At 51.9% G+C, this 26,310-nt stretch overlaps 1 protein-coding gene across 8 annotated transcripts in view, besides 3 other annotated features; it reads left to right on the top strand.

Annotated features, from left to right (window-relative positions):
- ECE1 (endothelin converting enzyme 1) overlaps window positions 1–24,321 on the top strand; it is a 128,255-nt gene extending 103,934 nt beyond the window's left edge. For all 8 annotated transcript variants that reach the window (NM_001113348.2, XM_011540873.3, XM_011540872.3 and 5 more), the window contains 9 exons: window positions 3,327–3,437; window positions 4,727–4,825; window positions 5,644–5,721; window positions 7,910–8,013; window positions 13,530–13,640; window positions 14,345–14,412; window positions 16,131–16,321; window positions 19,729–19,824; window positions 21,440–24,321. In NM_001113348.2, the coding sequence (NP_001106819.1) occupies window positions 3,327–3,437; window positions 4,727–4,825; window positions 5,644–5,721; window positions 7,910–8,013; window positions 13,530–13,640; window positions 14,345–14,412; window positions 16,131–16,321; window positions 19,729–19,824; window positions 21,440–21,616 (1,035 nt within the window). In that variant the 3' untranslated portion in view covers window positions 21,617–24,321. The remainder of the gene's footprint in view (window positions 1–3,326; window positions 3,438–4,726; window positions 4,826–5,643; window positions 5,722–7,909; window positions 8,014–13,529; window positions 13,641–14,344; window positions 14,413–16,130; window positions 16,322–19,728; window positions 19,825–21,439) is intronic.
- Window positions 5,245–5,745: an enhancer, noted in NCBI's record as "H3K4me1 hESC enhancer chr1:21562319-21562819 (GRCh37/hg19 assembly coordinates)". NCBI's record gives its function as "activates a minimal SCP1, AML or CMV promoter by ChIP-STARR-seq in primed H9 embryonic stem cells {active_cell/tissue: H9 hESC(primed)}" and the evidence as "EXISTENCE:reporter gene assay evidence [ECO:0000049][PMID:30033119]".
- Window positions 16,728–16,928: a silencer, noted in NCBI's record as "peak108 fragment used in MPRA reporter construct". NCBI's record gives its function as "represses an SCP1 promoter by STARR-seq MPRAs in K562 erythroleukemia cells {active_cell/tissue: K562}" and the evidence as "EXISTENCE:reporter gene assay evidence [ECO:0000049][PMID:32103011]".
- Window positions 23,328–23,533: a silencer, noted in NCBI's record as "fragment chr1:21544531-21544736 (GRCh37/hg19 assembly coordinates)". NCBI's record gives its function as "represses an EF-1alpha promoter that drives an FKBP-Casp9 reporter gene in an ReSE screen in both phorbol 12-myristate 13-acetate-treated (for megakaryocytic differentiation) and untreated K562 erythroleukemia cells {active_cell/tissue: K562 | K562(+PMA)}" and the evidence as "EXISTENCE:reporter gene assay evidence [ECO:0000049][PMID:32094911]".

The following is a 26,310-nucleotide window of genomic DNA, read 5'->3' as shown; positions in this document are numbered from 1 at the left end:
CACACCTGTAATCCCAGCTACATGGGAGGCTGAGGCAGGAGAATTGCTTGAACCTAGGAAGCAGAGGTTGCAGTGAGCCGGTATCACACCACTGCACTCCAACCTGATAGACGGAGCAAGACTGCATCTCAAAAAAAAAAAAAAAAACACCTCAACCACTTACTCCCTGGGTGATCCCTTTGGCCAAGTGATTTAACCTCTCTGTGCCACAGTTTTTTATCTGCAAAAAGAAACAGACTGGGTGCGGTGGCTCACACCTATAATCCTAGCACTTTGGGAGGCTGAGGCGGGCAGATCACCTGATGTCAGGAGTTCGAGACCAGACTGGCCAACATGGCGAAACCTTGTGTCTACTAAAAATACAAAAATTACCGGGGGTAGTGGTGGGCACCTGTAATCCCAGCTACTCGGGAGGCTGAGGCAGGAGAATCTTACTGTGAGCAGTATATGCAGTAGGGCCCGCTCTCACTCCACTGCTACACTTCACTGTGATTACTGCTGTGGATGGTGCAATTACATGTCTGTTTCTCTCACTGGATGTTCTGGGCATTTCAGTTGAGACCCAGGAGTACAGGCTCACTGTTGATTCATCTCTAGCTTCGAAAGACCTAGCACAGTCAGGATGCAGGGCAACTGCTCACAGAACGCTGGATGCGTAAATGAATGAAAGCTCGTGTGAAGGAATGGGTTTATCCAGAGAATCTCCAGAGAAGACGACACATAAGAAAGTCTGTCTGTGATTCAGCCCTCACAGCCTGGAGCCTCCACGGAGCTTCAAATTAGAGTCCCCCTCGTCCTGACATCCTGTGTGGTCGGCCTCGGCCAGACACAGACCATGTGTCCAGCTTTGGGCTTCTCAGCCGAGGGAGGGTAGGCGCGGGAGGGAGGGAAAGGCTGAGGGCAAGGCATCCAAATGGACACGTAGTTGGGAAAACTAAAAAGAACATGGGTAAGAAGAAGAGTGGCCCTTCCTTTCTTTCTTGCCTAGAAGGAATTTTTGTAGCTAAGGCATAATTTACATACAATAAAAATGCAGTGTACATTAAGTATTCAGTTCAGTGAGTTTTTGGTTTGGTTTGGTTTTGAGACAGAGTCTTATTCTGTCACCCAGGCTGGAGTGCTGTGGTATGATCTCAGCTCACTGCAACCTCCATCCCCAGGGTTCAAGCGATTCTTGTGCCTCAGCCTCCCGAGTAGCTGGGGTTACAGGTGCCTACCACCACACCCGGCTAATTTTTGTATTTTTAATAGAGATGGAGTTTCACCGTGTTGGCCAGGGTGGTCTCGAACTCCTGACCTCAGGGGATCCACCCACCTCAGCCATCCAAAGTGCTGGGATTACAGGTGTGAGCCACCATCCCGGCCTTTTTTGTTTGTTTGTTGTTTGTTTTTGTTTTCAATTGAGACAGTCTCGCTCTGTCACCCAGGCTGGAGTGCAGTGGCCTGATCTTGGCTCACTGCAACCTCCGCCTCCCAGGTTACAGCTATTCTCCTGCCTCAGCCTTCTGAGTAGCTGGGATTACAGGCATGTGCCACCACGCCTGGCTAATTTTTGTATTTTTGGTAGAAACAGGGTTTCACCATGTTGGCCAGGCTGGTCTTGAACTCCTGACCTCAAGTGATCCACTTGCCTCGGCCTCCCGAAGTGCTGGGATTACAGGCATGAGCCACCACACTTGGCCTCAATGAGTTTGACCAATGAAGTCACCCATGTAACCATCACCACAGTCAAGATAGAGAATATCCCCTTCTGCCTTGGGCATAGCATGCTAAAAAAAAAAAAAAGAAAGAAAAAAATGTATAAAAAATTTTAGAAAGATAGAGAACATTCCCATCATCCATTTGTCCAGCGCCCTCTGAGCAGCAGGTACCCTCATGCCCCTTTCCTGTCAGCCCCCAGCCCCCAAGGCTGGTGCAGCTGGGTGTGGACGGAATTATACACGATGTGCCTGGCTGCTTTTGCTCAGCTTGAGTCTGTGGAATTTATCCATGCTGTCGTATATATCAGTAGCTAGTTCATTCCTTTTTGTTGCCAAGTAGTATGTTGCTGTATAAAAATACCACATTTTGTTGATCCGTCTGCCTGCTGATGGGCATTTTGGCTGTTGTCAGTTTAGGGCCATGATGAATCAGACTGCCCTGAGCGTGGGTGGTTGTTAACCACCTGTTCTTTGGGGTTAAGAGGACATCACTTCCTCTGTCGTACGAGGGATTTATGTGAGCAGGGCCACCACACGTGGTCATATATACTGTCCACAGAGGGATGCCTGGCCGGGGAGTGACTGGGGCTGACATTAGCCCAGCACGCGTCCCTGGGCCATGCCCAGGAGGTTGCAGCCCACAGACGCCTATTTCCGGTTTGCACAGAGGGGTTGTATGGACTGTTGGGGCTTGTAGGCAAGACCAAGAAAGAATCAAGGCATTGCAATCCCGCGGTGAGCCAGGTGTGGTGGCTCACGCCTGTAATCTCAGCACTCTGGGAAGTCAAGGCAGGTGGATCACTTGAGCCCAAGAGTTCTAGACCAGCCTGGGCAACATAGTGGGATGATGTCTCCACAAAAAAAAAAAAAAATTTTTAAATAGAAAAAATTAGCCAGGCATAGTGGCCTGCACCTGTTGTCCCAGCTACTCGGGAGGCTAAGGTGGGAAGATCACTTGAGCCTGGGAGGTCGAGGCTGCAGTGAGCTGTGTGATCGCACCACTGCACTCCAGCCTAGGTGACAGAGCGAGACCCTGCCAAAAAAAAAGAAAAAAAGAAAAAAGTCCTGCGGTGTTGCTGTGGTGTTCTCATTTGAGGAGATCTTCAATGGCATTGGAGCCCTGGCCCTGGGGCAGTTTTTTCTGTGACTCAGGGTAGACCAGTCACTCTCCACCGCTCTTTGCCTCCAGGACTCCTGCTCTTCCCAGGAGGCAGGACGAGATGGGGGTAGGTAGGAGCATAGGATGTGGAGTCAGGCACGTCTCAGTTCTCATTCCAACAACACTTGTCACTCGTGGGGCACCCTGGGCCAGCAGCTGCTCCGTGCCGAGTGTGTTTCCCCATCAGTCAAACGGCTTGTAAGCCCCGAGGGTCATTGAATGGCTCAACGGGACACTATTTGTGAAGTCCCAGCACAGAGCCTGGCATTCAGGAAATGGCAGGGGGTGGGAGTGAGGGTATCAGTGGCCTCTTGGTCCGGTGACTAAAATAACTTTACTGGGTCGGAAAGCTCTCCCTGAACTTCCAGAACAAAGCATGGGCCCCACATGGTGCTACCTCCCAGCAAGAAAGGGGTTGGGAAACAAAGGGCTGGGGCCCAGCGAGCCCCCTGACTTGTGTTTTCCAGACCTGTCTTCCTCGCTGGAAGTTTTGCGTGAGTGACACAGAAAACAACCTGGGCTTTGCGTTGGGCCCCATGTTTGTCAAAGCAACCTTCGCCGAGGACAGCAAGAGCATAGTAAGTGCCTTCCCCGTGGACACAGGCTGTGAGGTCACACTTGTTGTGGCCTGCACAGACCTGCCAGTTCACACTCCAGCCCACCCTGGGCCTTTCCTGCTCCTGGGCAGGGGACCTTAGGGCCACAGCCTCAATGCAGAGGCTTCACTTCCTCGAGCCCTGGGTAATGGGAGTCTCACGAGGGCAGCTCTTCAGTGCCAGGCCCTTATCTGCACGAGCTCATGTGATCCTCCCAGCAGCCTGCAAGGCTGTGACAGCCATCCCCACCTCCAAGGGCTGTGAACGACCCAGAGAGAATGTTGGCAGAACAGCTCTGGCCCAGAGGGTGACATTTTTCTTATTTTGTGGGTGACAGGTTTGTTCTAGACAGGCAGAGGAGTGCCATGGCAGAGCGCCTTGGAGACAGCCCGGCCTAAGCTCAGATCCTGGCCTCACCGCTGGTCGGGTGGCCTGGGACAGTTCTTACATCATCTGCAATGTGGAGACGGGGGCATTCCTCCCACAGAGAGAGATTAAATGAGATGCCACACACTGGGCACCGGCATACAATAAGGGTTCAGCTAATGGGAGTGGTCATTTTATTGTTACAATCTTGATGACAAATAGTATTCATTATGTAGCTGTCATCTGCAGCCGGAGGTGAGCCAACCGCAATTCAAATCCATTACAGTGACTGGCCTGTGAGCAGCTGGGCAGGGTCTGAGTTGGGGTCTGCTGGCCCCTCTGCTCTTGTTGCCGCACAGCTCTGCCTTCCCCTTCTCTAGAACCTTCAACTTTCCATCTTCGAGCTTGTCTGCTCATGACATTGTCTCCCTCAAGAACACCTGTCTATATCCAGCCTGAGCATGGTATTTCCGAAGCTGCTCCTCGGAACATGAGTACTCTAGATCTTAAAGCCCGCTCCATCAAAAAGGAATGCTGTGGTCCAATAAGGCAATAAGGCTGGGAGAGGCTGTGTCTTCTCCCCTCTCTGGAAGAATCACGGTGCCTATTATTACCATATTAAAGGCTCTGAAAAGTACCACAGCAGAGACTTTTCCAACTTTCCCGAAGCTCATCCTAAGCTTATTGGAGCATGGAGCCCTGTGTGTGGAAGGCCAGTCCTGTCTTGCAGGGTGTTCACGTTAGGAGCGTGGTTTGGAAGCACAGCTGTGGCTCCCCTTCTCACCCAGCCTGACGCTTGGAAAATTGAGTTTAATCTCTGGCCATCATTGTTCTGCACGGGGTGCCTGTTGCATTTACCTGAGACCAGTGCGCAGACCTTACTGCTGTGATGTGTATCTCCTCAGGCCACCGAGATCATCCTGGAGATTAAGAAGGCATTTGAGGAAAGCCTGAGCACCCTGAAGTGGATGGATGAGGAAACCCGAAAATCAGCCAAGGAAAAGGTGAGGCTGGCCAGGCACTTGGAGGGGGTGCTGCGGCGTCCAGCACAGATAGAGGAGGGTGGGGGAAGGAGAGGCCGGTTTTTTTGTTTGTTTTTTGAGGCAGAGTTTCGTTCTTGTTACCCAGGCTGGAGTGCTATGGTGCGATCTTGGCTCACCGCAACCTCCGCCTCCCGGGTTCAAGCGATTCTCCCACCTCAGCCTCCCGAGCAGCTGGGATTACAGGCGTGCGCCACCACGCTCGGTTAATTTTGTATTTTTAGTAGAGATGGGGTTTCTCCATGTGGGTCAGGTTGGTCTCAAACTCCCGACCTCAGGTGATCGACCCGCCTTGGCCTGCCAAAGCGCTGGCATTATAGGCATAAGCCACCGCGCCCGGTGAGGCCAGTTCTGTCCGGCAGCACAGCCTGGATGCTGTCTCGCCTTCAGCGGGTGAGCGGTCTAGGCCTAGCAGGATTCGGGGTAGGCCTCAAGCACATGATTGCTTGGATGTCTGTAGAAGACAAACCTCGCTGAGTGTACGGGGAAAAGGTGCAGGAAAACGCAGCACGTCCCGTGGGTCGGGAAGGCTCTGGCACCCTCCAGTGGGATGGGAGTCAGGGAAGACTTCCCTTGGGAAAGTGACATTTAAACAGAGACCTAAGGGATAAGTAGAAGTTTTGCAAGGGGGAAACCTTTCCAGAAAAAGACATGAAAGCCCAAGGCAGGCAGGGCCTGGCTCTGGTTCCCCTTGGCCCAGACTATGAGCCCAGCACCCAAGTTGCTCAGGCTGGCCTGGTCGATGTTGCCGGGCACTCACTTCCTCTGTCTGTCCTGTCCAGGCCGATGCCATCTACAACATGATAGGATACCCCAACTTCATCATGGATCCCAAGGAGCTGGACAAAGTGTTTAATGACGTGAGTAGCTGCTGCCCTGCCCCCTTGCGTTCCTAAATGCCCCCTTAGAAAAGGGCCGAGGCAGGGCTGGGTCCAGATGGGGTGCTAGAGGCAGCATGGTTGTCAAAACACACAGGGATGATGTGGTGTGGGGCTTGGGTATGGGTCAGGCATGAGGAAGCCTCTTCTTCTTCTTAATTTGGCTCCTGGGTCAGCTGGAGGCCCTGCCTCCCCATAGCCACCATCCATCAGCAGTGCCCACCAGTCAGTACAGAACCCGTGCTGTGTGCCCCCTGGAAGTGGTCAGCTCCATTTAATATGTGGGAAATAATGGAGGAAACAGACCCCAGAAGGTGCAGAGAGAATTGGTGGCCCTCAGACATCAGGGGTGGGGTATGAAGTGGGAAAACCCCCACACCACCTCCTCCCTCCCTGGTCGTGCTTCCAGTTACCTCCTGTCCCTGCGGCCCTCCTCCACCTCCCCAGAAACCCGGACCTCTGATTTTGACTTTGAAATGCTAATGGGAAAGAAGCAGCTTAAATCCAGGTGCATTTTTAAGCTTGGTTTGGGCAATGGAGGTGGTTGATACATCCCTGCTTATTAGAACTTTTGGCAAATCACTCAGTTAGGTGGATTGTGCTTCTGCCTCAAATTATGAAGTTTTATATCTTCTTGTGATTGAAATACTTGAATTCAGGTATTTAAGAAAAAATTTTTTTTGAGACAGGGTCTCATTCTGTTGCCCAGACTGGAGTGTAGTGGTGCTATCTCAGCTCACTGCAACCTCCGCCTCCCAGGCTGGCTCATATTCATGAGCCACCATGCCCAGCCTGAATTCAGGCATTTAAAAATCTAATAACCTCTCGTCATGGTTATATTTAGAACCTAAGACTATAAAGACTCATTCTGAGATCATGAGACTCATTCTGCTGCCTTTTCCTTGAGAATCATTTAAGATGCTCCAGAGTGTCATGACGCAAGATCCTTGGGCCTCTGGAGGCATCCTGGGCAGAGCCCAGGATCCATGTCCTGTCCCTGAGGCTCCAGCGTTTCACCAGAACCAGGGAGAATTTTGCACCTGTCAAGAGCTGAGCCAGGCGCAGTGGCTCATGCTTGTAATGCCAACACTTTGGGTGGCTGAGGTGGGGGGATTGATTGAGCTCAGGAGTTTAAGACCAGCCCGGGCAACATAGTGAGACCTCATCTCTACAAAAAATGTAAAGATTAGCTGGGCATGTTGGCATGTGCCTATAGTCCCAGCTACATGGGAGGCTGAGATGGGAAGATCACTTATGCTCAAGAAGACAAGGCTGCAGCAAGCTGTGATTGCACCACTGCACTCCAGCGTGGGCGACAGAGCAAGACCCTGTCTCAAAAAAGCAGAAAAAAAGCTAGAAAGCTGGGCCGAGTAGTGAAAAGGGTGTACAGTGATGCCCTTGACAGTTCAGATAGATTTCTACTTTACTTATGAGATCTAGTATGGTAGCTACTAGCCACAGGTGGCTATTTAAATAATTAAAACTTAAATTAGTTTAAATTAAATTTAAAAGCCACACTTGCCACATTTGAAATGCTTATTAGTGGCCGGGCGTGGTGGCTCACGCCTGTAATCCCAGCACTTTGGGATGCCAAGGTGGGCTGATCACCTGAGGTCAGGAGTTTGAAACCAGCCTGGCCAATGTGGTGAAACCCCGTCTTTACTAAAAATACAAAAATTAGCTGGGCTTGGTGGCATGCGCCTGTAATCCCAGCTACTCTGGGAGGCTGAGGCACGAGAATCACTTAAACCAGGAGGTGGAGGTTGCAGTGAGCCAAGATCGTGCCATTGCACTCCAGCCTGGATGATAGATCAAGATTCCCGTCTCAAAAAAAAAAGAAAGAAAGAAATGCTTAGTAGTCTGCCATACTGGACAGCGCAGGCATAGAGCACAGAACATCCATCATCGCAGGAGGTTCTATTGGACAACATGGGAGATATTTCTTGCCTGGGCCCAGGCACTGCTGTAGGCACATCCTGCAACGGTGTCATTCCATCTCGTGCCCCAGGGTGAAGGCCAAGAGAAGAGCTGACCCTGCAGCCCCAAGCCCTGCATTCCGGTCTCCAGCCTGCAGATTAATCTCTTAACCATGACAGCCCTTGGCTTCCTGTCTTGGAAGATGCACACCACCGAGGGCACACTGTGATTGACTCCACTTCTTCTTTTCTAGTACACTGCAGTTCCAGACCTCTACTTTGAAAATGCCATGCGGTTTTTCAACTTCTCATGGAGGGTCACTGCCGATCAGCTCAGGAAAGCCCCCAACAGAGATCAGTGAGTTCCCCCAGGCCCTGCCGGCAAGGTGCCAGCTCCCCACCTGTGGGCAAGCCTTGGGACGAACTGGCCTTCATTGCACCCTCACTGTGCACCCGATCAGCTATCACGAGAGCCGTCTGAAGAGTGGATGCCCTTGTTATCCCACTTTTCAGATGAAGAAACCAAGGGCAAAAGAAGTATGGCCCAGCTAGGAGCTGGGATGGGCTTGAGCCTGCCCAGCCTGTTGGCAGGGTGAGCCTGGCCTCTGGAGCGGAGCCGATCTGGCACCTTGTCTCCGCTCCACTGCTTTGGGATTTGGAGCCTTCATTTCATTTTCCGCAGAATAGGATGGGAGGAGCTGGTTCTGGGGTCCTCATGGCAGTCAAATGTGAGGACCTCTGGGGAGCGCCAGACCCCAAGGAGGCCCCAGCAAGAGCAGCTTTCCCATTGTTCCTCACTACCACGAATGGTGGGATCTCAGGACAGGGAGCCCACAGAGGCCTGGGGAAGGTTCTGGATGGGCTTGACAGCTGTGCTTCCCAAAGCTCACTGCACATCAGAGTCCTCTGGGGAACTTTTTCAAAGATACAGCTTCCTGGCCGGGCGTGGTGGCTCACGCCTGTAATCCCAGCACTTTGGGAGGGCAAGACAGGTGGATCACCTGAACCCAGGAGTTTGAGACCAGCCATGGTCAACATGGCAAAACCCTGTCTCTACTAAAAATACAAAAATTAACCGGGTGTGGTGGCGCACACCTGTAGTCCCAGCTACTCAGGAGTGAGTAGCTGAGGCACGAGAATTGCTTGAACCCGGGAGGCGGAGGTTGCAGTGAGCCGAGATCGTGCCACTGCACTCCAGTCTGGGTGACAGAGCAAGACTCCATCTCAAAAAAAAAAAAAAAATACAGCTTCCTGACCTTAAATCAGGATAACCTAGAATGAGACCTGGTCTTTGTCCTTTTTATTACTGTCTCCTCAGGTCAATCACAGTAGCTCAGGCCTGCAATCCCAGCACTTTGCAGGCTGAGGTGGGCAGATCGCTTGAGCCTAAGACTTCAAGACCAGGTTGGGCGACATAGGGAGATGTGGTCTCTACAAAAAATTTTTAAAATTAGCTGGACGTGGTGGCACGAACCTGTAGTCCCAGCTACTGGGGAGGCAGAGGTGGGAGGATCACTAGAGCCCAGGAGGTCGAAGCTGCAGTGAGTCAAGATCATGCCACTGTACTCCAGCCTGGGCAACAGAGCGAGACCCTGCCTGAAAAAAAAGAAAGAAAGAAAAAAAAAAACTGTCTCCTCAAAAAAATTAGATGTAGTCAGCCCAGTTCCAGTCTTCAGTCCAAGGTCCTTCCATTCCTCAGTGCAAACATTTGGGATAAATCTTAGGGAAGGGTGCAATCAACTTCTCTTTGCCTCTGGTGCCCCCTGGTGGACTATAGGGGTTCAAACATCTCTATTTCCTTCATTTCCAGCCTCCAACCAGGACACCCCGCTATGTACAAGAAGGTGGGCTTTTACCTTCAGAACATGGCATAGGCTCTGTTGCCAGTTTATCTGAAGTATTTTAACTTAGCTTGAATGTTTTTATTTAAATTTCCTTGCCTACCCATTGAAGTATTTGTGATTATTTGAATATAAATATGATGTTTTAAATTCCTCCATATGGCCAGGTACAGCGGCCCACGCCTGTAATTCGAACGCTTTGAGAGGCCAAGGTGGGAGGATCTCTTGAGCTCAGAAGTTTGAGACCAGCCTGGGCAACATGGTGAAACCCCATCTCTACAAAAAATTTAAAAAATTAGCTGGACGTGGTAGCATGCGCTTGAGCCCAGGAGGTTGAGGTTGCGGTGAGCTACAGTTGTACCACTGCACTCCAGCCTGGGCTACAGAGCAAGACCCTGTCTCTAAAATAAATAAATACATAAATAGAGTTCTTGGCCAGGTACGGGGGCTCACACCGGTAATCCCAGTACTTTGGGAGGCCAAGGCGGGTAGATCACTTGAGGTCAGGAGTTCAAGACCAATCTGGCCAACATGGTGAAATCCCGTCTCTACTAAATATACAAAAATTAGCCACGCATGGTGGTAGACACCTGTAATCCCAGCTACTTGGGAGCCTGAGGCAGGAGAATCGCTTGAACCCGGGAGGCAGAGGTTGCAGTGAACAGAGATTGCACCACTGCACTCCAGCCTAGGCAACAGAGTGAGACTCCATCTCAAAATAAATAAAGTTCTCAGTATGTTCCCATGGCTGTGGGGCTCACCTGGAGGAGGCAGAGTGACTGTCTAGGCTCTTAGAGGAAATGTGGTACCCATCTCACTGCACTCCTCACTCACCCTTCCCCTCTGTACCAGAGAAGTCATTGAAATGCCAAATACCTCATGACTATATACCATTACTTTCAAAACCTTTTTTGGTCTTGGGATCCTTCTACACTCAAAAAAATTATTGCTGGGCGCGGTGGCTCACGTCTGTAATCCCAGCACTTTGGGAGGCCAAGGCGGGTGGATCACCTGAGGTCGGGAGTTCAAGACCAGCCTGACCAACATGGAGAAACCCCATCTCTACTAAACATACAAAATTAGCCAGGCATGGTGGCACATGCCTGTAATCCCAGTTACTCAGGAGGCTGAGGCAGGAGAATCGCTTGAACCCGGGAAGCAGACGTTGCGGGTGATCCAAGATGGTGCCATTGCCACTGCACTGGCCCTGATTTTTTTTAAATTTTATGGAAAATAACTATTTTCAAAAAATTAATGAGAAGAGAGGTATCGTTTTACTTTTTGCAAATTTCTTTATGTCTGGCTTAATCAAAGACAACTGGATTCTCATATCTGATTCTGCAGTCAATCTGTTACCATATGTTGTTTTTATATATAGAAAGAATTCTTGGCCAGGCGTGGTGGCTCACGCCTGTAATCCCAGCACTTTGGGAGGCTGAGGCGGGTGGATCACGAGGTCAGGAGTTCAAGACAAGCATTGCCAAGATGGTGAAACCCCATCTCTACTAAAAATACAAAAAATTAGCCAGACGTGGTGGCGGGTGCTTGTAATCCCAGCTACTCAGGTGGCTGAGGCAGAGAATTGCTTGAACCCTGGAGGCAGAGGTTGCAGTGAGCCAAGATCACGCCACTGCACCCCAATTGCCCTCCAGCCTGGGTGACAGAACAAGACTTTGTTTCAAAAAAAAGAGAATTCTTGCCTCACATAGGAATTTAGTTGGGAAAGGGAGGGATGAGGGATATTTTAATAGTCTTTTCTGGTACTTGTGCACGTTCTTCTGATACTACACCAAAACTCGAAAAGTGATAATTTTTTAAAGGTTAATTGCACTATGGAATCTGAAACCACATCCATGAACTTTATTTTTTTCTTTTTTCTTTTTTTCACTGTATCACCCAGGCCAGAGTGCAGTGGCATAATCTCAGCTCACTGCAGCCTCAACTTTCCCAGGCTCAGGTGATCCTCCCACCTCAGCCACCTGAGTAGCTGGGACTACAGGTGCACACCACCACACCTGGCTAATGTTTGTATTTTTTGTAGAGACAGGTTTCACCATGTCACCGGGGCCGGAATTTTTGTAATTTTTTTTTGCCCAGGCTGGTCTCAAACTCTTGGGCTCAAGCAGTCCTCCCACCTCGGCCTCCCAAGGTGCTAGGATTACAGGCATGAGCCACCATGCCCAGCCTTCATGAACTTTCATACTCTGTTACACTAAATTCCATTGGTCTGTCCTGCACTTTGAATGGATCTTTTACCCAGGCGTGATTTTGTAACATCATGTCTTAGTCATTTGGAAAACAATGGTTCACTGAGTCTTACAGATCTTCCAAATGGTTATACTTCCAATATACAATAGCAAAAAAATCCACATTTGTTAATATCACTGCTGACCTCTTGAGAAAAACCTTCCATTATTATTGGTAAGGTGTCAAACTTGTGGTGGCCAATATAAGTTTTTCAAAATTTTAATTTTAGCCTGAAACTTCAACATTTTTTTAAATCTCATATTTTTATCATTGGCAACAGATGGCTTGAGTTGTTTTCCTTGAGGTGATAAGCTCACTTTATTCATTTTAAAGAAAATGTCTGCCAGATGTCCACGTCTGAAATTCCATAGTTTACCAGTCATCCTAAAAGTACCAACAGGGTTCCAGGAAAGAAGCAGAATGCTTTATATGTGGATTTAATGTTACTCCACCTCTGTAACATTAAAAAAAAAAAAATTAGCCAGGCATGGTCACGAGTGCTTGTAGTCCCAGCTACTTGAGAGGCTGAGGTGGGAGGATAGCTTGAGCCCAGGAGTTTGAGGCTGTAGGGAGCCATGATCATGCCACCGCACTCTAACCTGGGTGTCACAACAAGATCTTGTCGCTTAAAAAGAAAAAAAAAAAAGTCTTGTATTCAGGGGTTGAGATGTAATGAAATTAATCATTATGACGGCGCAGTGGCTCATGCCTGTAATCCCAACACTTTGGGAGGCCGAGGCAGGCGGATCACGAGGTCAGGAGATCGAGACCATCCTGGCTAACACGGTGAAACCCCATCTCTACTAAAAATACAAAAAATCAGCCGGGCAAGGTGGTGGGCGCCTGTAGTCCCAGCTACACGGGAGGCTGAGGCAGGAGAATGGCGTGAACCCCGGGGGGCGGAGGCTGCAGTGAGCCGCAGTCGCACCACTGCACTCCAGCCTGGGTGACAGAGTGAGCTCCGTCTCAAAAAAAAAAAAAAAGATACTCTTCAGTGGTGACTTTTCAAAATCTTTTTCTTTTCTTTTTTCTTTTTTTTTTGAGATAGCCTTGCTCTGTCACCCAGGCTGGAGTGCAGTGGCTCAATCTCAGCTCACTGCAACCTCCACCTCCCAGGTTTAAGCAATTCTCGTGCCTCAGCCACCCACGTAGCTGGGATTACAAGTGTGCGCCACCACGCCTGGCTAATTTTTTTTGTATTTTTGGTAGAGACAGGGTTTTGCCGTGTTGGCCAGGCTGGTCTTGAACTCCTGGCCTCAAGTAATCCACCCACCTCAGCCTCCCAAAGTCCTGGGATTACAAGCATGAGCCACTGTGTGCTGATATTTCAAAATCTAATGGCCCTTCCTGCTCTTTGTAAGAACCTCAGTATTCCACCGTGTGATATGACATCATTAATTAACTGATTCCTTATTTATAGACAGTCAGGTGTTTTCTAGTTTTCTCCTAAAAAGCAGTCCTGCACCCAGGCACAGTGGCTCACGCCTGTAATTCCAGCACTTTGGGAGTCCGAGGCAGGAGGATGGCTTGAGGCTTAGAAGTTGAGGCTGCAGTCAGCCATGATCACACGACTGCACTCCAGCCTAGGCGACAGAACGAGACCCTGTCTCAAAACAAACAGTCCTTCTGTAGATGTCCTTGTACTTGTGTGCACTTGGGCCTGGGGTCAAGGAGAGTCTGCATTTTTAATGCCCTTATTCCCGATCCCCAAGCAGCGCTCCAGGCAGGCTGTCCCCACCTGCCTCCCGCCCTGTGCTGAGACCTCCTGCATGTGTGTTGCTTGCAGGTGGAGCATGACCCCGCCCATGGTGAACGCCTACTACTCGCCCACCAAGAATGAGATTGTGTTTCCGGCCGGGATCCTGCAGGCACCATTCTACACACGCTCCTCACCCAAGTAGGCTGCCTCTGGGGCCCCTACCCCAATTCTTTTCCCCCAGCCCAGCCCTGGGGCCCATACGACCTAAGCCAGTCTCACCATGTGATCTTTGCCCCAGTGCTTCAGGTTGCAGATGTCAGAGATGTTGCAGAGGAAGCAACATCCTCACCCACTTTCCTTCCCTCCAGTGAGATCTGGAAGCCCTGCACAGTGGGGTATTGGGAGCATCTCATGGAATCAAGAGCCCTACCTCAGGGAAACGCCCCTCTGACAATGTTATAACACAGTCAGAGCTGGGGAGTGGGGAGGGTTAAGGCTGCTGTCTCAGTTTGAATCCCAGGTCTGCTATTGGATGATTGTGTGGTCCTTGGGCAAAGCAATTGACCCATTCCCAGCCTTGGTCTACTCATAAATAGAGCTGGTCAATGGCGACCATTGCTAACGCTTTCGCAATGACTGAAGAGGACAGTTAGGTCTGTAGAGCATCTAGCACAGCGCATGGTGCCCAATAGGCACAGCTGACCACACAGACTGTGCCCAGCCTCCCTCTGGCTTCAGGGGCCTTGCTGGAGACTCAGGCCATGACCACACCCTTATCCACACAGAGCCCTGTGGAATTTTGCTATATCTCTAAGCCCAGGAAGTGAGGGTCACATACCTGAGCAAGAGTGAGAGGCCCTCCTCTCAAAGCATCATCTCTACCTTTGTGTCTTTCCCTCCAGGGCCTTAAACTTTGGTGGCATAGGTGTCGTCGTGGGCCATGAGCTGACTCATGCTTTTGATGATCAAGGTACGAATTCCAGCTGGGCACGATGGCTCATGCCTGTAATCTCCGTGCTTTAAGAGGAGGATTGCTTGAGGGCAGGAGTTTGAGACCAGCCTGGGCAACATAGCAAGACCTCCATCTCTACTAAAAAAAAAATTAGGCTGTGCATGATGGATTATGCCTGTAATCCCAGCGCTGTGAGAGGCCAAGGCTGGTGGATCACCTGAGGTCAGGAGTTCGAGATCAGCCTGGCCAACATGGCGAAACCCTGTCTACTAAAAATAAAAAAATTACCCGGGCATGGTGGCGGGTGCCTGTAATCCCAGCTACTCAGGAGGCTGAGGCAGGAAAATCGTTTGAATCTGGGAGGCGGAGGTTGCAGTGAGCTGAGATTGCGCCACTGCAGTCCAGCCTGGGTGACAGAGCGAGACTCCATCTCAAAAAATAAAATAAAATAAAATTGTATCTACTAAGAAAGTAAAAATTTAGCCAGGTGTGGTGGCAAAATTTTAATAGTCCTAGCTACTTGGGAGGCTGAGGTGGGAGGCTCACTTGAGCCCATGAGTTTGAGGCTACAGTGAACTATGATTATGATTGCACCACTGCCTGGTACAGGTTCCTTGGTCCCCTTTAGACTGGGCCAATCATCTTCCAGGCCCCACTGCCTCTGCTTTCTGCATCCTTCACTTCTAAGGGTCTTAGCTTTGGAGGCAGAAGGATCTGGGTTCAAATCCTTGCTCTGCCACCTGCCGATTATATGAAGTTTAGCAAGCGCTGTCATTTCTCCAGGCCCCCATGTCTTGTCTGTAAAAGGAGCGTGATGGTTCCACCCTCCCGTGGTGATTGGGAGGACTGTGTGAAGTGTGTAGTGAGGTGCCCTGCTCGTGGAAGTTGTCCCGCTCTTGGGGTTCCTATTAGGTTTAGCAGAGAGTGGACATTCCTCCACCACTCCAGAGACTTCTCCAGTCCAACTGCAGTCAGGGGGCGTTGAATCAGTCCCTCCTCTCCAACTAATGTCCAAAATCCTCCTCATTGCCTCCTTCCTTGGGCACTCCCGGGCGGAGATGGAAGAAGCAGAGACCTGGGTGGCCTGGGCCTGTCTTGTGATCCTAGGTCAGCTGGCTCCATCTGCCTCTTCCTAGGCATCTGTTACTCAGGGTCAGGGGCCCTTAGCCAGTGTTGAAAATAAGCCAGGCACGGTGACGCACACCTGTAATCCCAGCACTTTGGGAGGCTGAGGTGGGCAGATCACTTGAGGTCAGGAGTTCAAGACCAGCCTGGCCAACATGGTGAGACCCCATCTCTACTAAAAAAAAAAACAGAAATCAGCTAGGCATGGCGGCATGTGCCTGTAATCCCAGCTACTCCAGAGGCTGAGCACAAGAATTCCTTGAACCCAGGAGGCAAAGGTTGCAGTGAGCTGAGATTGCGCCACTGCACTCCAGCCTGAGTGGCAGAGTGAGACTGTCTCAAAAAAAAAAAAAAAAGAAAGAAAACAAAGCAAGCCCCACTGAGCCTCGGGCCACGCTGGAGCTTTTCCCGATTTCTCTCCTTCATCCTCTCCCGCCTCTGACTGGCCACCACATCCACGTCCCTCGGCACTCACAGGGACCTCGTCTCCCCATGGTGGCTGGAGGACGGGGGTGGACGGATGAACCGCTTCTCACCAGGAGCAGGGAGGAGCAGCAGGTCCCTGCTGTGCCCCTCCCTCCCTTGACATGACGCCTCCCTCTGACCCACAGGACGGGAGTATGACAAGGACGGGAACCTCCGGCCATGGTGGAAGAACTCATCCGTGGAGGCCTTCAAGCGTCAGACCGAGTGCATGGTAGAGCAGTACAGCAACTACAGCGTGAACGGGGAGCCGGTGAACGGGCGGCACACCCTGGGGGAGAACATCGCCGACAACGGGGGTCTCAAGGCGGCCTATCGGGTGAGAGCCCCGCTCCCCACACGCGCACGGTCCCAGTGCTGGCTCCTTCCAGATGCCTGTCCGTAGAGGATCATCACGGACAACCAGGGCAGGCGCAGCAGCCGTGCGAGCTTCCGTTTCCTCTTCTGCGAAATTGGGGGTGGCGAGGACCAATCGCGATGCCGACCGTGGAGGCTCCCCCACCACAGGGCTTGGCACCAGAAGGCTTTGTGCTCTGAGTCTGGCCTGACAAAGACACAGGAAGGGGCTCGGGCTTCATCCGCCTGAAGAGCCTGCCTGTTCTCATCTCTGCAGGGGAAGCTACCACCAAGTCAGCCAGCTGTGGGTCTGGGAGGCCCCTGAGGACTAAGCAGCCAGGGCAAGGAGCACTGGTCGTGGAGCCAGTTCTGGGTTCAAGTCCCGGTTCTGGAGTAAGTCACAGAACCTCCTTGAGCCTCACTTGACTTGGCTCTGATTAGCTACTACCTGCATTATTGGGTTGTTGGGAAGATAAAACAAGATGATTTAGACACGGGCTGACCCAGAGAGACACTCAGAGATGCTCGCGGAGTCAGATGGGAGAGTTAGTAACAGAGGCCACGAGAGAAAAACAGTAGGTGTCTGTCAGAGAGATTAAGACAGGGCTTCCTCCCAACCACGGCAGTAAGAGCAGAAATCCATAGAGCTGTCATTTATTGAGGCCTTCTTAAGTGCCAGGCTTGGAGTATTCCCAGCAGCTTTACAATTAGGTATTATAATCCCCGTTTTGCAGATAAGCACACTGAGCCCAGAAACCTTGGATAGGTTGCTTAAAGTCCACGAGTCAATGAAAGGTATTGAGAATCTACCTAGCAGGGGCTGTGTTTGAAGCTCATCCTGCTCTCTAAAAGCTTATACTCTTAGTGGAGGCTGGAAGGGGAAGAAAGGCAAATAAATACATCATAAATCTGTAAGATAATGTCAGCTATTGAAAAGGTGACGAATATAAACTGGGGCGAAGTAATGAGGAATAACGGGGGGTAAAAGGAATAATGGGGAGGACGCTGGCCACGGCAGGCCTTCTCTGGGGTTATGACATTTGCATAGAGACCTAAATGATGAGGAAGAGCCTGGGAAAAGCTGGGGAAAATGGTCTCAGCAAGAGGAAGAGCAAGTGCAGAGGCCACGAACTAGACACAAGCCTGGCACGTCCAAGGATGGGAAGAAGGGCAGGGCAGAGTGTAGGGAATGCGGGGACCAGACCACTCCAGGCTTCTGTCGGCTGCGGCTAAGGAAGGACCTTTGGTTTTGTCCTGGTTATGATAGAGAGACACAATATAGGGTTTTAAAATAGAGGAATGACATGATTCAACCTACCCTTTAAAACAGGGGTCAGCCGGGCGCAGTGGCTCATGCCTATAATCCCAGCACTTTGGGAGGCCGAGGTGGGCGGATCATTTGAGGCCAGGAGTTCAAGTCCAGCTTGGCCAACATGGTGAAACCTCATCTCTACTAAAAATATAAAAATGGCTGGGCACGGTGGCTCATGCCTGTAATCCCAGCACCTTGGGAGGCCTTGGTGGGTGGATCACGATGTCAGGAGTTCAAGACCAGCCTGCCCAAGATAGTGAAACCCCGTCTCTACTAAAAATACAAAGATTAGCCAGGCGTGGTGGCAGGCGCCAGTAATCCCAGCTACTCGGGAGGCCGAGGCAGGGAATTGCTTGAACCCGGAAGGTGGAGGTTGCAATGAGCCAAGTTCGCGCCACTGCACTCCAGCCTGGGCAACAGAGCAAGGCTCCATCTCAGAAATATGTACATATTTATATATAAAAAATAGCCAAGTGTGGTGACGCATGCCTGTAATCCTAGCTACTTGGGAGGCTGAGGCATGAGAATCTTTTAAACCCAGGAGGCAGAGGTTGCAGTGAGCCAAGATTGTGCCACTGCACTCCAGTCTGGGTGACAGAGCGAGACTCTGTTTCAAAAAAATAAATAAATAAAAATAAAACAAGAGTCCTCTGGGTGCCGTGGCTCATGCTTGTAATCCCAGCACTTTGGGAGGCCAGGGTAGGTGGATCACAAGCTCGACTTCAAGACCAGCCTGGGCAACGTGGTGAAACCCCGTCTCTACCAAAAATACAAAAAAATTAGCTGGGCATGGTGGCGTGCATCTGTGGTTCCAGTTACTCAGGAGGCTGAGGTGGGAGGATCGCTTGAGCCTAGGAGGTGGAGGTTGCAGAGAGCCAAGATTGTGCCAGTGCACTCCAGCCTGGGTGACAGTAAGACCCTGTCTCCAAAAAAAACAAAAACAAAAACGAGTCAGCACACCTACAGCCCATGGGCCGAATCTAGCTGTGAGGCTGTTTTTGTAAATGAAGTTTCTTGGCGTTGCAGCTGGCTCCATTTGTTTCCATGTCTGTGGCTTTTTTTTTTTTTTTTTTTTTTTTGAGACAGGGTCTCACTCTGTCACCCAGGCTGGAGTGCAGTGGCGCAATCTCGGCTCACTGCAACCTCTGCCTTCCTGGTTCAAGTGATTCTCCTGCCTCAGCCTCCTGAGTAGCTGGGATTACAGTCATGTGCCACCGCACCTCGGCTAATTTTTGTATTTTTAGTAGAGATGGGGTTTCACCATGTTGGCCAGGCTGGTCTCAAACTCCTAACCTCAGGTGATCCACCTGCCTGGGCCTTCCAAAGTGCTGGGATTACAGGTGTCAGTCATCGCACCCGGCCATGTGGCTGCTTTCATGCTGCAATAGCAGAATTGAGTCATTGCAGCGGTGACCATTAGCCCACAAATCCCAATGTGCTCACTCTCTGGCCATCCACAGAAAAGGTTTGCCAGCACCTGCTTCCTAAGGTTCACTGAAGTTGCTTTGCCAGGAGGGGAATGGAATTGAATCAGCCTGAGTCAGAAGACTGATTAGAAAGCTGTTGTGAGGTTGTCCAGGCAAGAGACAGGGTAGAGCAATGGGAAGGGGGAGCGGAGCAGTGGTCAGTGTTTGATCTGAGAGAAAGAGAAGAATTGAAGAAGCGTTCTGGGTTTGGGGCCTGGGATGATGGATGGTGGTACCATTGACTATGATGGGAAAAGTTGTGTGTATGTGTGTGTGTGTGCATGCACACACACGATGTGGCTCTGTTTATACCATGTTAAGTTTGAGATGCATCTTGGCTGTCCAGCTGGCACAGTTGAATATACACATCAGGGAAGAGGCTGGAGCAGAAGGTGTAAATGTGAGAGCCATCAGTGCGTAGAAGGTATTTTAAGCCATAGGGCTAAACGAGTGCACATCAAGAAGAGGGCTCCCCTAGGCTGAGCCCAGGCCCAGATCCCCAGAAACTAGTCCTTGCCCCAACACGGGGGAGCTCCCTGAGACCTCCATACCAGTCCCCTCCTTCACCACCTGCCATGGGAACCCCTGAGCTTTGGTTTTCTCTCCTCCCAGGCTTACCAGAACTGGGTGAAGAAGAACGGGGCTGAGCACTCGCTCCCCACCCTGGGCCTCACCAATAACCAGCTCTTCTTCCTGGGCTTTGCACAGGTGAGTCCATTAGGAAAACATGCCACACATGGTACATTCTGCCATCTTGATGTTTCAAGAGCCCAGAGAGCCGAAAGGCAAGTTCCCCACAGATTGAGAACTTCCCAAGTCACTGGACTGTGCACAGCACATGTGCCCTGTCATTAGAGAGATGCACGGAAGGGCCCAAAGTACCAGTGAAGGGATTCCTGGATCTGGTGAATGAGAAGACGAGGTGATCACCCAGGGCCCTTCTGGTTCTAGGGTTCTAGAGGTTTCTTAAACTTAAGATGACCAGCCAGGCACAGCAGCCCACGCCTATAATCCCAGCACTTTGGGCGGCCGAGGCAAGTGGATCACCTGAGGTCAGGAGTTTGAGACCAGCCTAGTCCACATAGTGAAACCCTGTCTCTATGAAAAAATACAAAAAAAAAGTCAGGCATGGTGGTGGCTGCCTGTAGTCCCAGCTTCTTGGGAGGCTGAGGCATGAGAATCACTTGAACCTGGGAGGCAGAGGTTGCAGTGAACCAAGATCACGCCACTGCACTCCAGCCCGGGCAACATAGCAAGATTCTGTCTTGCTGTGATCATCCCAGATCATCCCTTCAGTCGGCATTCATCTGGTAGCCTTCTGCTGGCACTCAGAGCTACCAGGCCATTAGACAATTTGTTCTGCCCAGGAAATGAGAGATCTGGACTAAATCCAAGCTTTTCCAACTGGTGTTTGGACACAGTCCTTTGTTCAGATGGAATCGAATGCAGTTGCCTCAGAGATGCTGCGCTGGCTGAAGGAGAACAGTTTGGAGACAACTGCGTTAGAGGCTGCTGGCATGGGGGGTGGCACACCAGCCCTACACCAGCCCACTGTCTCTTCCTGACCCGCTCAGGGGACCCTCCTGACTCCCCGGGATCTCAGGATCAGGTGGGGGGCTTATCTCCCTGGTGTTGTATTTTCTGGGTTTTGTTTTTTTGGAGCCGGAGTCTCCCTCAGTCACCCGGCCTGGAGTGCAATGGTGTGATCTTGGCTCACTGCAACCTCAACCTCCCGGGTTCAAGTGATTCTCCTGCCTCATCCTCTCATGTAGCTGGGATATAGGCACGCACCACCACGCCCATCTAATTTTTGTATTTTTAGTAGAGACAGGGTTTCACCATGTTTGTCAGGCCGGTCTCGAACTCCTGGCCTCAAGTGATCCACCGCCACCTTGGCCTCTTAAAGTGCTGGGATTACAGGTATGAGCCACCACACCCAACCTTGTTTTGCTTTTTGAGACAGGATCTCACTCTATCACCGAGGCTGGAATGCAGTGGCACAATCACAGCTCACTGCAGCCTTGACTTCTCCAGCTCCAGTGATCCTCCCACCTCAGCCTCCCCAGGAGCTGGGACCATAGGTGTACACCACCATCCCTGGTTAATTTTTTTTTTAATTTTTTGTAGAGATGGGGTCTTGCCATGTTGCCCAAGCTGGTCATGAACTCCTGGGCTCAAGCAGCCCTTCCACCTTGGCTCCCAAAGTGCTGGGATTACAGGTGTGAGCCACCGCACCTGGCCTCCCCTGCTGTTATAATGGGGGCAGTCTGGCAGCCCGAGGGCCCCACAGTGACCCTGGCCTCTCCCTGTTGCCCCTTCAAAGGTCTGGTGCTCCGTCCGCACACCTGAGAGCTCCCACGAAGGCCTCATCACCGATCCCCACAGCCCCTCTCGCTTCCGGGTCATCGGCTCCCTCTCCAATTCCAAGGAGTTCTCAGAACACTTCCGCTGCCCACCTGGCTCACCCATGAACCCGCCTCACAAGTGCGAAGTCTGGTAAGGACGAAGCGGAGAGAGCCAAGACGGAGGAGGGGAAGGGGCTGAGGACGAGACCCCCATCCAGCCTCCAGGGCATTGCTCAGCCCGCTTGGCCACCCGGGGCCCTGCTTCCTCACACTGGCGGGTTTTCAGCCGGAACCGAGCCCATGGTGTTGGCTCTCAACGTGACCCGCAGTCTGATCCCCTGTGAAGAGCCGGACATCCCAGGCACACGTGTGCGCCACCTTCAGCAGGCATTCGGGTGCTGGGCTGGTGGCTCATCAGGCCTGGGCCCCACACTGACAAGCGCCAGATACGCCACAAATACCACTGTGTCAAATGCTTTCAAGATATATTTTTGGGGAAACTATTTTTTAAACACTGTGGAATACACTGGAAATCTTCAGGGAAAAACACATTTAAACACTTTTTTTTTTAAGGAAAGAATTGGTATATTTATTATGTTCTGTTTTTCTAAATAACCTGTGGACAAGGGAAGCCCCACTGATTTACTCCCTCTCTTCCCCACTCCCTGTGAGGCTGGGCTGAGGCACGGATCCCTGGGCCACAGAGCAAGTCTCCAAATCAGACAGCTGCCTCAGCCCCTGGGATGTGTGATTTCAGCTCCTGTCACCTCATGCAAGGGCGTGGAGACCAGTAGAGGTGTGGAGGCCAGGCAGAGAGAGGAGCCTGCTCTGCGGGGGGCCCAGCTCATGGGCACTGCCCCTTCAGCTAGCCTGCCTCCGTCCCCTGAGTCCAACAGTGGGAGCCCTAGCTGGGAAGTTCTGATCCCCAAAGCCACAGCAGGGGACTGATGGCTATAGCAGAATGAGGTCGGGTCAGGACCCTCAAACACCATCTGGGAACACCAAGCACCCTGAATCGAGACTGCAGGAGCCCTGCGGGGTGAGACTGTGTCAGAGATACACTGCTGGCCACAAGTGTCCCCTCTCAGTCCCACCTTTTCGGGCTGTCCCATGTCTATCTCAGGGGCCCGTTACCTCTCTGCAGCAGTCCCCCATCCCAGCCACACCAGGGTCTGTCCGGCCAACCCTCTTCCCCAGGGAAAGGAGAAAAGAGAAAACAGGCTGGGCCCGGTGGCTCACTCCTGTAATCCCAGCACTTTGGGAGGTTGAGGTGGGCGGATCACCTGAGGTCAGGAGTTTGAGACCAGCCTGGCCAACGTGGTGAAACCCCATCTCTACTAAAAAAAATTACAAAAATTAGCCGGGAGTGGTGGTGGGCACCTGTAATCCCAGTTACTCGGGAGGCTGAGGCAAGAGAATCTCTTGAGCTCAGGAGGCAGAGGTTGCAGTGAGCTGAGATTGCGCCACTGCACTCCAGCCTGGGTGACAGAGGGAGACTCCGTCCCAAAAAAAAGAAAAGAGAAACAGCTGTCACCTCCCGCAGGACCCAAATCCTCTCTCTGAGCACCGTCATCCACCACATGGCTGGGCCTGGCTCCCAGGACCAGTCCAGTCCTCTAGTGCCTTATCTGAGGCTGCAGCCGCCAGTCTCCACCCCAAGGAGACAGCCCCTGCTCCTAGATGCCCTTGGCCTCCGCAGTGCAGCCCCCAGGTGTCCTGACTGAAGCACAGGCCATAGCCCCATTTCCCCGGTGCCTGCAGGGCTAACCTCCACGGGAGCCCAGGAGCTCTGGCCGGCAGGTCCATGGCACAGGGCATCGGAAGACTGCAAAACTGCTGGACTTACCCTGGGCTGCAGTCCATTGTCGGCCCCTGGGTTGAATCAAGATAGTACTTGCAGCTAGATGGATGCTTTTAGCCAGGGGACATTGTGAGGGGAAGATTCCTCCACCCAGTCTGGCCTGTGGTGTCTGTCTCCTCCCTGAGACCACAGCTTCTCCAGTAGCAGACTCATGGGCGCCACCAAGTGGAAGCACCTGGAGCGGCCTCTGCCATCCAGTGGGGAAGCCAGGCCCCGAGACGGAGGTGGGGGCAGCACGTGCCCTCCACAGCCACCGCTTTCCCGCCTCAGCAGCCCAGGCCTCCTGGCCCAGCCCTGCCTGGACAGTGCTCTCCCCTCACCCGGGAAGCTGGAATCCTCCTGCCCGAGAGGAAGCAGACGGCACAGGGACACCCCTGCCACCTTGGGATCTGCCTCCAAGCTGGTGCAGGGTATCGAGAGTGGATTCCAGATGGAGGTCCTGGTCCCAGCACGCAGCAGTCCTGGTAGCTCTGCAGAGGAGACAGGAACCCGAGAAGTAGCTGAAGCAGAAGCCAGCCGCAGTCCCCTTGCCACATAGAGGCGGGCTTCTCCCAGCCATGGTGTCCCCTCTGCCTCCCCTCCCCCGACCCTCCTGCCTTCCGCGTGGAGGGTGGTGGTCCTGTAGTGTCAGCACCAGCACCATGGGCTTGGACCCCCTCCCTGGACACAGGCAGGTGTCCTAGGGCTGGGGGTGCAGCCCGAGGGAATGGAGACCACACTCATGGCTCAGGTCTGCCGGGGCCGGCAGGGGGTTGGGGAAGAAGAGGGCTCAGGCCCAGCAGGGGTGGAAGCCCCTGCCACTGCCACTACCCGCTCCAGAGCTTTAAGGAAAATGAAGTGAGACCCCTCCCCTTAGGCCTGGGGAGCCATAGGGCTGGCTTCTCTGTGGGTGCGTGGACGTGGGGTTGGGAGCTGGGAATCTATTTTTTGTATTATGTTTTGAGCTACTGTAGTTTTGGCGTGGCACTATTGTAATGGAAATAAAATACTTGTACGGAGGGCCATGTGTCTGGGTGTCTGTCCTCCCAAGGTGCTGTGTGTCCTTTGAGGCCGGCACAGGGCTGTCCACCCTAGCTTCTCCAGGGCTGGGCGCATCTGTCCCTGAGAGCAGGGGTCTTGGACCCTGACAAATGCCAGAAGGTTGCTCAGTACCTGTGCCCCCAGCCACCCTTCCTTCACCTACAAGTGTGTGAGCACCCCCTGCTGGTGAGAATGATGCACATCACCACCTGGGTCCAAGAGGCCTCCTGGTAAAAATAATTTTTCTGTTATCTTCGAGCAAGGGAGTTTCCAGGTCTCAGATGTTTGGGCAGGGCAGGCAGTAGGGAAAATCAAAGAAAGGTTCAAGGAGGGCCAGGTGCGGTGACTCATGCATGCAATCCCAGCACTTTGGGAGGCTGAGGCAGGTGGATCACCTGAGGTCAGGAGTTTGAGACCAGCCTGACCAATGTGGTGAAACCCCAGCTCTACTGAAAATACAAAAATTAGCCAGGCATGATGGAGCACACCTGTAATCGTAGCTATTTGGGAGGCTGAGGCAGAAGAATCGCTTGAACCTGAGAGGCGGAGATTGCAGGAGCTGAGATTGCGCCACTGTACTCCAGCCTGGGCAGCAGAGTAAGACTCCATCTCAAAAAAAAGAAAAAAGCAGGGCACGGTGGCTCACGCCTGTAATCCCAGTACTTTGGGAGGCTGAGACGGGTGGATCACTTGAGGTCAGGAGTTCGAGACCAGCCTGGTGACCATGGCGAAACCCCATCTCCACTAAAAATACAAAAATTAGCTGGGCACAGTGGCGCACGCCTGTAGTCCCAGCTACTCAGGAGGCTGAGGCAGGAGAATCACTTGAACCTGGGAGGCAGAGGTTGCAGTGAGCCAAGATCATGCCAATGCACTCCAGCCTGGGTGACAGAGCAAGACTCTGTCTCAAAAAAAAAAAGGAAAGAAAAGTTCAAGGAAGAGTCTCTGATGTACACTGTGCCTCCTGGGGTTTGCGTGTGTTCTTCACTCTGCCTGGAATGTTCTTGCCTGATAAACTACCCATCCTTGAAACCCCCAGCTCAGCTTCTCCTCCTCTAGGAAGCCTTCCTAACCTCCCAGTCAGTATCAAACTCACACAAGGCTTCCTTCTCCTATCACAGTGTATGGGTTTGCTAGTACCTAACAAAGTACCACAAACTTGGGGGCTTGCACAACTCTTAGTTCTGGAGGCTCAAAGTCCAAGATCAAGGTGTTGGCAACATTGACTCGGTTCCAGGCTCTCCTAGCTTCTGGCAACCTTTGGTGCTCCTTGGCTTGTAGAAGCATCACCCGGGCCTCTGCCTTCATCTTCATATGGCGTTCTCCCTGCACGCGTGCCTGTCTCTGTCCAAATTTCCCCCTTTTATGAAGACACCAGTCATACTGGATTAGGGCCAACCCTAATGACCCCGTTTTAGCTAATTACATCAGCAATGACCCTATTTTCAATTTTTTTCTTTTTTTTTTCTTCTGAGACGGAGTTTCATTCTCATTGCCCAGGCTGGAGTGGGGTGGCGTGATCTCGACTCACCGCAACCTCCACCTCCCAGGTTCAAGCAATTCTCCTGCCTCAGCCTCCTGAGTAGCTGGGATTACAGGTACGCGATGCCACACCCGGCTAATTTTTTGTATTTTTAGTAGGGATGGGGTTTCTCCATGTTGGTCAGGCTGGTCTCGAACTCCCAAACTCAGGTGATCCGCCCGCCTTGGCCTCCTTCCTCTTCCCCGCTCTGAGACCCTGGGACCTCTCACTCCTCCTCTCCTCCTTTTCCCTTCTTTGTTAACAATAGATCCTACCCCCTCCCCACCCAGCTCCGTGCCTGCCCCACTCCCCAAGCAGGAATTAAAACCCCAGCCTGGCCCTTCAGGGATTTACCCTGCAGCTAAGCAGATGGAAATACGTGCAGGATGCAAGTTAGGAACAAATGGAAAATAATAAATTGTATAAGGAAAAGGGAGCAGCAGAGG

The sequence above is a fragment of the Homo sapiens genome, chromosome 1, assembly GCF_000001405.40.
Source record: "Homo sapiens chromosome 1, GRCh38.p14 Primary Assembly".
Classification (NCBI taxonomy): Eukaryota; Metazoa; Chordata; class Mammalia; order Primates; family Hominidae; genus Homo; species Homo sapiens.
Note: the sequence above shows the minus strand (reverse complement) of the source record. Positions and strands in the feature narration are given on the sequence as shown.